Raw genomic sequence first — 13091 nt, 5'->3', positions numbered from 1 at the left:
TAGAAAGGCACACTATTTCTTATTTAAATATCTGCTAACTTCAAGAGGAAATCGTATCTGCCTGTGGTGAAACTTGAACATTGTTCGCATGAAAAGTGACACCTACTTATATTTTCTACAACCTGTTTCAGATCTAAATTCCAAATACATGCGGCGTTAGGTCCCCTGCACTACCATCTATACTTAATAAAGTTTTATACTAAAGACACCTTAAAGATATGTCCACCATGCTTACCCAGGAAACACTACTTTAAAGACAGAGTGAAGGGCATTTTACAAAGCTTAGAAAAATGTGGCCTTCAAATCTCAGGCTATTGCTCCTCGTGCTCACTTTCTGAAACAGCCTCTGAGATCAGGGGGAGCAGCCGGAAGCCTCCGAGGTCAGGGGGAGCAGCCCGAAGCCTCCGGGGTCAGGGGGAGCGGCCCGAAGCCTCCGGGGTCAGGAGCAGCGGCCTGAAAGCAGCCTTACTGTTTCTCTTGCTCACAGCATCGGCAGTTCCTGGGCAGGGCTGCCAGGCAACCTGGGACGCCAGTTACATGTGAATTTCAGAGAAACAGCGAGCATTTTTGTCACATATTTCATGCAACATCAAATGTTTTTGTGAAATGCAAACCTAACTGGGCGTCCTGGATTTTTTTTTTTTTCTTTTGCTCTGTTCATGAAAAGTGATTTTATTTTTGGGTTTTTTTTTTTTTTTGGTTTCCAGTTTATTTTTATTTATTTTATTTTATTTTTTTAAATTTTATTATTATTATACTTTAAGTTTTAGGGTACATGTGCACAATGTGCAGGTTTGTTACATATGTATACATGTGCCATGTTGGTGTGCTGCACCCATTAACTCATCATTTAGCATTAGATATATCTCCTAATGCTATCCCTCCCCCGTCCCCCCACCCCACAACCGTCCCCGGTGTGTGATGTTCCCCTTCCTGTGTCCATGTGTTCTCAATTTCATTGGCTAAATCTTGCCTCCCTAACCCTGGGGACCTTTTAGGAGGACACAGGCCTCATGCCCCAGCCCAGAGATTCTGCTCATTTGTTCTGGTGTGGGGCCCAGGTCAGTTCATTTGACAGTGCCACAGGTGAATCAATCCACAGCCAGGGCTGAGGCCACCAATAAGGGAGGAAGAACAAAAGTGATTAACCGAGGGCCCATTTCACCTTTACCTACTGAGCCGACTGTGGCCCAGGGCTGCGCCACCTCTGTGGACCTCTCTGGAATCACTGTCTTTCCACACGAACACAGAACAGGACTCTCCCATCACCCTCTCTCAGTGTCTTTGTCACACAACATGCTTTCTGGATAGAACTTTTTCAGGCATTTTAACATAAAAAAATATTCACTTTGAAACGCTCTTAACTTCTTTAGCTGACGTATTGTCTGAATTTTCTGCACCTGATGGATGCCTGAGATTGGCTTCTGTTCCTTCTCCACAGGCGCCTTTTCAACCCCGCACGTAAGGTGCTTCGATGTGGCAGGAGCAATCACAGCTCTAATTATTGCTGACACTTGTTCTGGGTATTGTGCAAATGACTTCAGGGTAAGTTGTGATGCCCATTTATTTTACTTCAAAAAAAATGAAGCCGGGCGCAGTGGCTCATGCCTGTAATCTCAGCACTTTGGGAGGCTGAGGCAGGTGGATCACAAGGTCAGGAGTTCAAGACCAGCCTGGCCAACATAGTGAAACCCTGTCTACTAAAAATGCAAAAAAAATAGCCGGGTGCGGTGGCAGGTGCCTGTAATCCCAGCTACTCGGGAGGCTGAGGCAGGAGAACTGCTTGAACCTGAGAGGTGGAGGTTGCAGTGAGCCAAGATTGTGCCACTGCACTCCAGCCTGGGAGACAGAGTGAGACTCCATCTTAAAAAAAAAAATTGATATGCCTTAATCTTGGAATGCCCAATTAAAGCAGAAAGCTTAAGTAAATTATGGTGCAATTATCATGTAGAATGTTAGAAAGCTTCTAAGTGTTATTGAAATTCCCATCGTAACGTTACGTGAGAATTGGTATACTCAAACTCGATGCGGTTTGTGATCTGAGTTTGCTTTGGAAAATGTCTGCTGGCAATTAACCAAGATGCTCACAGCGATGGGCTCTGATGAGCGGAATTATGGCCGTGTTTTATTTTCTCTTTAAATTTTTTGTGCTTTCCAAATTTTCTCCCACCAACCTGTATGCCTAAGTATAAAACATTATAAAAAGTACTTGGCATCCAACAGTCTTTGGAAAAGACAGTATCTGAATTGTCTTCCTTTTTGGAATGAGATGGCCTGGAATGAAAAGGGTGGTGGTAAAGACGTACAGCTTCCTTCCTTCTTCCTCTAACGTGGGTCAGCCCCGAGTGACTGCTGTTCCCTCACACAGATAATGGCACCACTGCGATCTAGAAAGACACCCACAGAACAACAGTCCCTCGCTCATCCACTCCGCCAGTCACCGGTGCCATCCACGCATGGTGCCTCTTGCAGGAGACTCACAGACAGTGAGGAAGACATGCTGCCCTCAGAGCTGACGGTCCCATTTTTTCCACGAACTCCAACTCCACGCATCAGAAGCACACTAGTCGCATTCTCGAGCAGCTCAAACTTCAGCATGGAATGTTGTTTCCCAGGCTTTTACAGTCCACAGGTAACACAGAGGAGGACATATTTTCTTGGGCATCTAGAAAAGCAACTCTGGAGGAAGAATCTGAACAGGGTGACACCTTGCTTCCTTAAAGAAGTTGGACCATGTGCAGAAGGTAACAGTGCGGATTATTTAAGCTGAATGCGAGTTGAGTCTGTGGGGTTCTATCCAGTGTCTTCCTGTAATCAGTTTCTGAAAAAAGATCTGAAATGGTAGCTGTGGGGATGACATGCCTGCATTTGCTTACCCACCCTGAATCCAGGTCCCCTTTGATGCCCCCTGCATGCCCCACTATCTGCAGGACAAGAGTCAGCCTGGGGTGATCTCTGGACATCATAGTCACTGACTGCAGCTGCCTGAGAGGAGGGAACACACAGCATCTGAATGCAGAAGATAAAACGTCGTCATGCCCATCGTGCAGAGGAGGAGCTTTGGAGATGTTGTAGAATTAAAATCCCACAACTACTCCGTGGCAGCATGGATGAGAACCTGCATCCTCAATTTCTCTCTGGCTCCAAACCCCTGTTTTCTCCTGTGTGGCGTGTCAGCATTTACTGCTCACCTCTTGGCCTGGGCAGCTGCAGCCCACCTCGGGCTACCTGTGGAGCTGCTTAGGACCAGGCTTTGCAAAAATAAAGGGAAGATGAAACGTGGGCCAGGCACCGTTCCGACTGGCCTCTCAATGCCTCTTTTGGGTGCTCAACTGCCCATTCCCAATTCTCTTTCTCTTTAAGCCACTCCTTTTCTGGCATCAAAATCTGAGCTTGGAAAAGAGACCTGCCAAGCTCACCAAGACTGAGTACGAGTGGATTCCAGTGGCCTCCATGGAAGAGCCACCCCGCTGCGTCCTCCTGCTGTGGCCAAATCCCAGACGGGCGTCTGTGTTTGGGAGATGAGGCCTCTCTGTGAACTGCCGGGTGGGAGTTTGCAGGGGGGTGGAGGACTGTGTGGAGGACAGTGTGGGGAGGACTGTGTGGAAGAAGGACTCCCAGCCTCCCACCTGGCTGTTCAACGGAGGCTCTGCCCTGAGTGGGCTTGTCAAGAAATCCTGAAGAATATGCCACAGCTTGAAACTGCTGAGGAACTCAACACCTCTGCCCTCCTCAACGAAGACTCTCAGCGATGATGGAAACTCCTTTCAAAGCGATCATTTCAACAATGATTTCCACAGGTATGATTTCACCTCACAGTGAATGTCCCGGGAAAGATGTTTAGAGGGATAATCTGAGGACGTGGCAGAGCAGCTCCAGCAACTGTGGTGACCGCTGTCCTCCCAGTTACGGGTAAAGGGGCCACCACGTACCTGCTGGCAGGTAGTGAGGACGTGAAGCTTCACCGACTACTCGTACTCGACCAGCCCTTGAGGATGAGGACCTGAGAATCGGTGCTGTGTGGTGCATGCTTGGGACGCAGCAGTGCACAGGTGGGACCTGGCCTGCGGGCTCATAGCCAGGCAGGAGAATCACATATGAACAGACGATTCCTACACCATGAAATCAGTTCAGTCACAGACACATGTACAGGGAGAGTGACTCGTGTTATCTGGGTTAGACGGACAACCTCACAGGGCAAACCAGCTTACAAAGCACATCCTTCACTTCAGTAGCACTGTTTTAAACCTGCATTCAGTTGTCCTACAGAATGGAATCAACTCAATCAATTACAGGTAGAATTTATTACATAAATCTATATACCAGAATATTTCATAGCCAATATACTATTTTTATTCTCATTTTCTAAATGAAAGCAACTTCAAAAATCTGATTTGTGGTTGGTTGTTTTCTTCCCTGAATCTCTGTAATACCCACTTTCAGTACTACTTAGCCATAGAACTGAATTTTGATCTATATCCCCAGGCCTAGCCATTATTCATTTATTCCACTCTGGGTATTAATAACAGTGAATGGCATTTGTTAAAAAATGACAGATGAAACTGGTTTCCTATTATTCACGGACCAATCATGCCTAAGGCATCATTCTTCTTGTTTTAAATACATCACATGTCAAGTTTACTCGCAGAAAACCAAATAAGTACAAGGTTTTAGCACAGCACTTACATTGCAATTCATTTTTAAAGCCTCGGATTCTAGATCGATTGTGCTTTAACAGGTTACAGAGCTCCTGACCTGAAACTTCACCAAGAAATGACTGTGCCAGGCTGTGGCAGCTTGGCGGGCCCCAATATTGTTTCAACCTCCCCACGTGGCTGGTCTCCCTGGGTTGCCCAGCAGTATTGGGAACGTGGAGACAAACGTTCCAGGCAGAGGCTGTTCCAGTTTTCCCATCTGTTGGTGCTTCTTGAGATTAGCAGCTGCATAAATGCATGTGTTTTACTACTTGTTTGTGACTCAAATGCATGATTCTCATGTTGCCAGCTCCACTGGCAGTATATTTGCCTTCAGCAATTTATGTTTTCTGTAATGAAAAACCCTGGCAATTTCATCCCATTTGGCATGAAACGCTAAGATATTATTTAGAGTTGGAAGAGCAAGAGGAGACAAATGCAGTTCTGTTAGTGTTGTGGCTCTCTGCAAGGCTCAGGAGCCGCCGCCGCATCTCCGCTGATGCTGAACTGTTCCTAAGGAAACCGAGAAATTCCCCCTTTGATTGGAATGTGCTCAGCAGACAGCCTTCCATAGGGGGTCTTTCCCCTCTCCAAGGCAAACTACTTTCAGAGCCTGTGGAACATGACAGGCTTCGCACGTGCCACCACATGGCAGTCCTTTATAAACAACACAGATCCAGAGAGGACACAGCCCTAACAGCCTCCAGGAGCCGAGATTTCACATTCTTCTGAACAGACTTCCGGCCCCACCTGTCTTGGCTGCCTTTTGCAAATGCTCTTTGAACACGCAGACTGCACAGCTTTCCATCTGCCGTAATATGCAGGCTTGACTTGCTCAAGTCCAGGCTCTGGCTCTTATGATCTGGGGCAAGTAATGAAAGCCTTGGTTTCCTTATCTGTAGGATGGTCATCATGCTGTTTGTGCCAAGGGTGGTTCTGAAGATGAGGTGAGAAACATGTCCATGCAGCATCTTGGCAGAGCACGGGACGCGAGCAGAGATCTTGAAGACCATGCTGATGACTGATCTTCCTTTTTAAAATTATTATAATTTTTTGAGATGGAGTCTCTTTCTGTCACCCAGGCTGGAGTGCAGTGGCGCGATCTCGGCTCACTGCAGCCTCCACCTCCGGGGTTCAAGCGATCCTCCTGCCTCAGCCTCCTCCTGAGTAGCTGGGACGACAGGTGCCAACCACCACACCCAGCTAATTTTTGTATTTTAGTAGAGATGGGGTTTCGCCATGTTGGCCAGGCTGTTCTCAAACTCCTAACTTCAAGTGATCCATCTGCCTCAGCCTCCCAAAGTGCTGGGATTACAAGCATGAGCCACCATGCTCAGCCTGATGACTGACCTTCTATGACCTCCCTGGGCCCTTTCAAAGGTTCCCTTTTCCTCCCTCTGTCAAGTAGGGGCAGCGCTTCAGACCACACCTGTCTTCCCACAGTGGGAGCTGGGAGGGGGAACTGAAGCGTTCTCCTTCAGTGAACCAAGAACGGGGATAAACCAGCGTCGCCATCTTCACATGGACGCAACGTGGGACACACGGCCTCTCCAAATTTCCTTAACCGCGTCTGCTATAAAAATCTGCATCCAGCGAGTCCATTACTTACATACATGCTTTCCCTGCTTCCTTTCTTATGTGAAGCCTCATGGCACTTGTGCCTCTCAACTGGTTTTCCTTGAATCCTGCATCTGCATGAACGCTCTTAAAAACATTTTCTGCATTTGAATCATAGATAAGTCCTGCCTATGCTCTAGGTGGAAAAATGATATGAAAAAATCTGCAATTCATTAGCTGCATTTTACAGCGTAGAGTGGGTCTGGCTAATCAACCTAATCAAAATTATACAAAAAAAGCGTATCATAATTATCTGGCAAGATGAGAGGAAAGGAAGATAAAAATAATTTTATGGAAAATGACAGGGCAGCTGCATTAACATCGTCCCAATTTCCAAGCTTGTTTCTGAAACTTCCTGTCAAGGCATATTTGTAAGTGTCCACATCATTCTCTATAGTTCTTTAAGAGAGGCCGTGGCAATGCCTGATGGTAATGTAAAATTTTCATCCTCATTGCAGTTATTATTAGCGGAATTTAAGATAATGCCTTCTTATTGACATTGCAGCCACTGTGGCAAAATGAAGGTCCTAGGGGGCAGACAGCAAAGGAGACGGCAGAGCAGGAAGGGGAGGGGGCTGAAAGGCTGAGAGACCAGGTCTGCTCTCTGCTGCCAGGAAATATTGTGATACAGCCGATGACTCAGGGTGGGAGGACATGAAGCCATCTCAGAAGCCACAGAAGGCTCTGCTACCACCTCTGTCCCTCAGATATGATGCCCAACTATGGTTGGTTTAATTTTTCATGGATCTCCCATAAGAGTTTACGGACTAACAACATGAATATCTTTCTATCAAATGCCTCAGCCACTTTCACCAGAAATTCCTGTCCAGCTTGTAAGTTGGGTCTGAATTGGTTTTACCCTGATGACTCTGAATCAGCGTGAACCTCCTTCGAGTGTCTGGATGGCTGTTCTGGGCTCTCACCAAAGGCCTCAGCCGTCGTGATCAAAACATCACAGACCATGGAGGACCCTGGGTCGGCGGGCACCGCTCTGGGGCAGAGCCGTCCAGTCGCAGGCCTAAGCCAGAAGGTTTCCAATTTCCCTTTTTCTTTTGAAGTGTCCCTGCGCAATGAGGATCTAAGGAACTCATGTCCGTGTCTTAAAATAATCATGGATGTTTTCTTTTTTAAATCAGAAATGATGAATTCTGGAAATCAAGGCCATTGACTCTGTTGGACCAGGCAGTGATACGGGTCTGACTGCTGACAAGAAGCCCTGCAAAGCTGAGAGCTGTGGCTGAGCCAGCTCACTGTTCATTCAGAAGCTCATGGAGCTCAGAGCCCAGGAGGCTGTGGCCTTGGCACCTGGAGGGCCTGCCCTGGCTGCTCTCTGGCACCTCACCAGCTCCTCAGCCCACGCTGGCTCCCAGGAAGGAAGCCGGCTTTGTCTTTCTTCCTTCCAGCTGCCTCCACATGGACTGCTGTGGTCCTCTTCCTAGAACAGTGTTTGAAATGGGGCAAAACATCCCAGTTTCCATATCACGCTAAACCCATGGGCAAGAACACTGTTGCCCACCTTTTTAAGACTCTTTTTAAAAGGAGTTTCATTCTCATTACTATATTGTGTTGCTATGTTTGAAACTAACAGGCACTAATCAATGAACAATTGTGAGCAAACCACAGCTCCCAGACCCTTACAAAAGCCCTGTGGTCTGTGGCTGCTCCTGGCAGCCCTGCCTGCCTCCCTGGTCCCCATGTCCTGCACATGCCTCCCTGGTCCCCACATTCTGCACCTGCCTTCCTGGTCCCCACGTCCTGCACCTGCCTCCCTGGTCCCCACCTCCTGCACCTGCCTCCCTGCTCTGTGTAGACGCCCTCAGGTCCTGCTCCCTGAGCCTCCTGCACAGCAGTTCAGCCTTCCCTTGTCCTCACGTTCTGCGCCTGCCTCCCTGCTCTGTGTAGACGCCCTCAGGTCCTGCTTCCTGAGCCTCTTGCACAGCAGTTCAGCCTTCCCTTGTCCTCACGTTCTGCGCCTGCCTCCCTGCCCTGTGGAGACGCCCTCAGGTCCTGCTCCCTGAGCCTCTTACACAGCAGTTCAGCTTCTGGGTCCGTCAAGCCAACAGCAGGTGTGCTCATCTCCACGTGGCGCCTGGAGACTCTGGAAACACACCGCGGCCTCACGCACGTCCAGCCCAGTCTCTGCCCGCCACGCTCACTTCCTCACGCGTGGGGCAGAGTCTAGAGGGACGCATTTTAAAGCCTGGGCTGGGTCACTTCCTCATGAAAACCTTCTGAGTTTCCCCACAAAGTACGGACTCCCTGGACCCCTCAGGGCCTCTCATCAGCCACAGATCACTCCCTGCAAACGCCCAGCAGCAGCTCGGTGCACCGCTGCCCTTCCTGCCGGCACCGAGCGTGGTTTATCTCCCAGGCTGCCGCGGGGCTCCCTTGCGCCTCTCCGGCCGCGCGCGCCGGAGGCTCACTCAAGCCAGCTCCAAGGAGGAGGCAGTGCCGGAGGGAAGAACAGGTGCGCCAGGGCCCGAGCACGGGACGTGAGGATGGCCGGGCTGTGGGAGGGCTAAATGCTCCAAGACCATCCGCCCTCTTCTCCTGGGTCCCTGTCCTCGCTCGTGTCTTTGCTTCTTTCTCTCTTTGTCATCTCTTCCTGCGTCTCCCTCCTCTTCTGGTCCAGCCTGATGCCCCGAACGAGGGTCCCACGCCCATCCCCACATCCACGCACGGCTGCCTGCAGCTCCTACTCTGTGTTTGGGGCGGGGAGACGCCGAGGGCTACAGCTGTGGAAGGAAGCGCATCCCAGGTCAGGTGAGGCTGGCCGGGGCGGCCGTGGGAACCACCGCGCAGGGACTCCCGGAAACCGTGGGGAGGGGGCGGGAGAAGCCAGCCGAGCAAGCCGCCCACCCCGTGGCCCACGAGAGCGAGCCATGCCAGTGAGCTGGGCTTGTTGAGCCTTTTTTGTTAACTACAAGGTCCTCTGCAGGACTACCGTGTAAAAAATTAAAAATGCATATAAATTACTCAGAGCAGACGTTCCATACATTCTGTGATTATTTTTAATACATTCTTTAAAAAGAAATGCAATGATTTTCAGCAAATGCTAGGCTATGTTTCTAGTGTAAAGACACATGAACTGACCACAACAGACAGAGGGTGGAGATTAGAACTCTGAGGAAGGCAAGCCTCGTGCAGCGTTGACCACGGTGCTGTCCTGCCCAGCTATCAAGAAGCAGATCAAACGGCTTTCCACGTTTCTTTTAAAAGAGAAACAGTGACTTGAAAAGCAAGTGTTCTGAATCTCAAAATATCCTTAAAACCCACACGTTCTCAAGCACATCACATTTGACATAACTGTGTGATTCCTCCCAGACCGTCATGTGAGCATGACACGGGGTGACAGATGTCACACAGCCACTTGGATGCTTTCATTTCTTGTGAGCATGGTGATTTTCCAGCCCTGCTGTGAAGACATCACCAACTTTCCCCCGAGGAACACAGACCTGGTTCCACAGGAGGGCTGAGAGCAGTCATTGGGGCCCCTCCTACCTGGCCCTTCTCCACGGGGGGACCCTGGCATCAGAAGGATAATCGGGTCGGGCTGGAAGCTTGAGCCTGAGACATGATCAACCCACTGGGTGCCCTGACATGAGTTTAGTTTTCTGGGCCAGCCAAGGAGTCAGAGATTTTTTAAATTCCCCTTCTGGGAGTCTCATGTCTTAGAAAATAAAATCTGGCCTGGTGCGGTGACTCATGCCTGTAATCCCAGAACTTTGGGAGGCTGAGGCGGGTGGATCACCTGATGTCAGGAGTTCGAGACAAGCCTGGCCAACAAGGTGAAACCCCGTCTTTACTAAAAATACAAAATTAGCCGGGCGTGGTGGTTCATGCCTGTAATCCCAGCCATTCAGGAGGCTGAGGCAGTAGAATCACTTCAACCTGGGAGCTGGAGGTTGCAGTGATCCAAGATCATACCACTGCACTCCAGCCTGGGCGACAAAAGCAAAACTCCATCTCAAAAAAAAAAAAAAAAAAAAAAAAGAAAAAGAAAAAGAAAAAGAAAATCCAATAAAGTATCATCTCACTTTGACCCTTCCTCTTAAGATTTTTCTGGAAAAGGCTTTGCCATTGGAAAGAAAAGTGTAAATCTTTCTATCTCCACCTCCAGGCTGGTCTCTGAACGGTCACGCTCATCAGTTATCACACTATTTTGTTTGTTTTAATGGCCTTGTACATGGATCATGTAGGAAAACGTAAAACTAGGCTCCAGGAGGTTTTAAAAATGCCTCCTTCAACCTTCTTTCATTTTTGATGGTTTTTAAAATTTTTTTTTTATTTTTTGAGATGGGGTCTCGCTCTGTCACCAAGGCTGGAGTTCAGTGGTGTGATCTTGGCTCACTGCAAGCTCCGCCTCCCAGGTTCACGCCATTCTCCTGCCTCAGCCTCCCAAGTAGCTGGGACTACAGGCACCCGCCACCACGCCCAGCTAATTTTTTGTATTTTTAGTAGAGATGGGGTTTCACCATGTTAGCCAGGATGGTCTCGATCTCCTGACCTCGTGATCTGCCCGCCTCGGCCTCCCAAAGTGCTGGGATTACAGGCGTAAGCCACCCTTCCCAGCCTTTTCTTTTCTTTTCTTTTTTTTTTATATGGAGTTTCGTTCTTGTTTCCCAGGCTGGAGTGCAATGGCGTGATCTCAGCTCACTGCAACCTCTGCCTCCCGGGTTCAAGCGATTCTCCTGCCTCAGCCTCCCAAGCAGCTGGGATTATAGGCATACACCACCATGCCTGGCTAGTTTTGTAGGTTTTTTTTTTTATTATTATTAGTAGAGATGGGGTTTCACCACATTGGTCAGGCTGGTCTAGAACTCCTGACCTCAGGTGATCCGCCCGCCTCGGCCTCCCAAAGTGCTGGGATTACAGGTGTGAGCCACTGCGTCCAGCCTGTTCTTTTATCTTGTTAACATAACTCTTTATTTGGCAAATCACTGATGAGTGATGGACTAGGCCAGGTCAGGGCTCAGCCAGCCGTGCGTTTGCTTCAATGCTGTATTTCTGGGTTTAAGCAAAATATGTGTGTGGGAACGTGCCCTGCCATGGGTGCAGAGAGCTTCTGCCAGTGAAACATGACCCTGAGTATTAGGAAGAAAGACAGAGTCAGCACTGAGATGCCCCCATCACCCATCCTCTTCCTCTTCCAAGACAATCTGGAGACAAATCCATTTAAATCACATGTGGACTCCAAAGAGACATAAAAACAAGACCCGGCTTTTGGAGACTGAAAACCTACATCTAGCCCCACGTTTCCTGTGTTCTGAAAAGCTCAGCAGGCGGAGGGGGGATGTTCGGTACAGTGGTGGTTAAAGGCTCTCTGCCTGTAGCCAGACAGCCGGGGTTCGGCTCTGCACTGCGCGGGGCGTCCCTGGGACTCACTGCCAACCCTTGGCATCCGTGCCTCTCTCTGCAAGAGAGATACTAATTGCACCTGTCTTACAGGGGCTGGTGAGGACTAATCTATGTAAAACATTTATCACAGGGACTGGAGCTCTCATGAAAAACAAAAGTCACGCCAGCACTACCCAATTTACATACGCAGCTGAGATACTTTCACAATGAATCCCACCGGGGTAAATAATCATAGCATTCACATTTTCCATCCCAACAAAGTCTTCCAGGCCAAAATTCTGTTGGCTATTCATATTACTTTATCGCAACGCAGAGACACCAAAAATTAACAGCCAGCTTGGACCGCAGGGGGCTTCTGATGAGGCACAAGGAAAAGACTACCTTGAAATCAACTATTTTCTTCATCTTACGGTTGGCCAACCCCTTTGCATAATAGGAATGATAAAGGACACAGAAATGAATGACTCACCGAAATGAAAGAGCAAACTCTACCATTTATTGCTTTCAAGAATCGATAAGCAGGGGAAATGAAACGCACAGCCTTCCCCTCTGCTTATGAATTAGGTCCTCCATCAAGTAAACACCACTTTCCCCACCCCCTTTCAGGATGGATCCAATTTTCAGATGTCCATTTGCAATTAATTAGTGGCTAAATGTGCCGCTGTGTTTTCTCACCTTGGCAGTAAATCCTGCCAGCTTCCCAGGACAATGCTTCCTATGCAAAAACAAACAGAGGTCACTTTCGTCCCCAGAGTGCCTGAGGGATGAAAGCTTGAGAGGCGGCTAATCATCCCTGCGCCCAGCATCTTATTCTGTCCCCACCGCCCCCAATCCCCGCCTGGTTTGGCAGCGGAGTAAAGGTCAGGAAGTCCTGCAGTTTTTGAAAAGGAGCATCGTGTTAGACCTGACTGACTCCAGACTCACAGCCTCTCTCCTTTCAAGGCCGCTGAAGAAACACTGGCCTGCTGGCTGCTGTCCCAGCGTTGCCCCCCTGCCTGGGCTCACCCTGCTCCACCCTCAGAGGCCTTTGTGCTCTCAGCTGGTGCTATGCAACTGGAAGCAGGTGCTCCTTTCGATTGTTTCAGCATCATTTGTGAAATGCTAATAAATTAACATGTTCCCAGAGGTTATTTTCTGTAAGTTGCATGTGGCTAACGCTGCAGCCTGACCTTCAGTCTCCAGGATGCGCCGTCATCTCCCTCAACCTCCAGCTTCGTGACTCATTCCAAGCTACTTTCTTGTTCCTTTGTACCTGGCTAATGACTGATCTTCATCAAGGAGGGGGCTAGAATAATGACCCTCCATTCACAAGCCTTCCGGCATTCCCAGCAACATGCACCTCTCATACTGAGGAGCCGACTGGTGGGTGGGGGTGGCTGCCATCCAAATGCCATGTCCCGGACCAGGTCTATTCCATTGGTT

The 13091-nt window shown here is 49.0% G+C and overlaps 1 protein-coding gene across 1 annotated transcript in view, besides 1 other annotated feature; it reads right to left on the bottom strand.

Annotated features, from left to right (window-relative positions):
* Positions 1 to 13091, bottom strand: part of DLGAP2 (DLG associated protein 2) — a 970849-nt gene that overhangs the window by 216701 nt on the left and 741057 nt on the right. The window lies entirely within an intron of this gene.
* Positions 11692 to 12245: an enhancer, noted in NCBI's record as "H3K4me1 hESC enhancer chr8:1427697-1428250 (GRCh37/hg19 assembly coordinates)". NCBI's record gives its function as "activates a minimal SCP1, AML or CMV promoter by ChIP-STARR-seq in naive H9 embryonic stem cells {active_cell/tissue: H9 hESC(naive)}" and the evidence as "EXISTENCE:reporter gene assay evidence [ECO:0000049][PMID:30033119]".

Source organism: Homo sapiens, chromosome 8 (assembly GCF_000001405.40).
Source record: "Homo sapiens chromosome 8, GRCh38.p14 Primary Assembly".
Classification (NCBI taxonomy): domain Eukaryota; kingdom Metazoa; phylum Chordata; class Mammalia; order Primates; family Hominidae; genus Homo; species Homo sapiens.
Note: the sequence above shows the minus strand (reverse complement) of the source record. Positions and strands in the feature narration are given on the sequence as shown.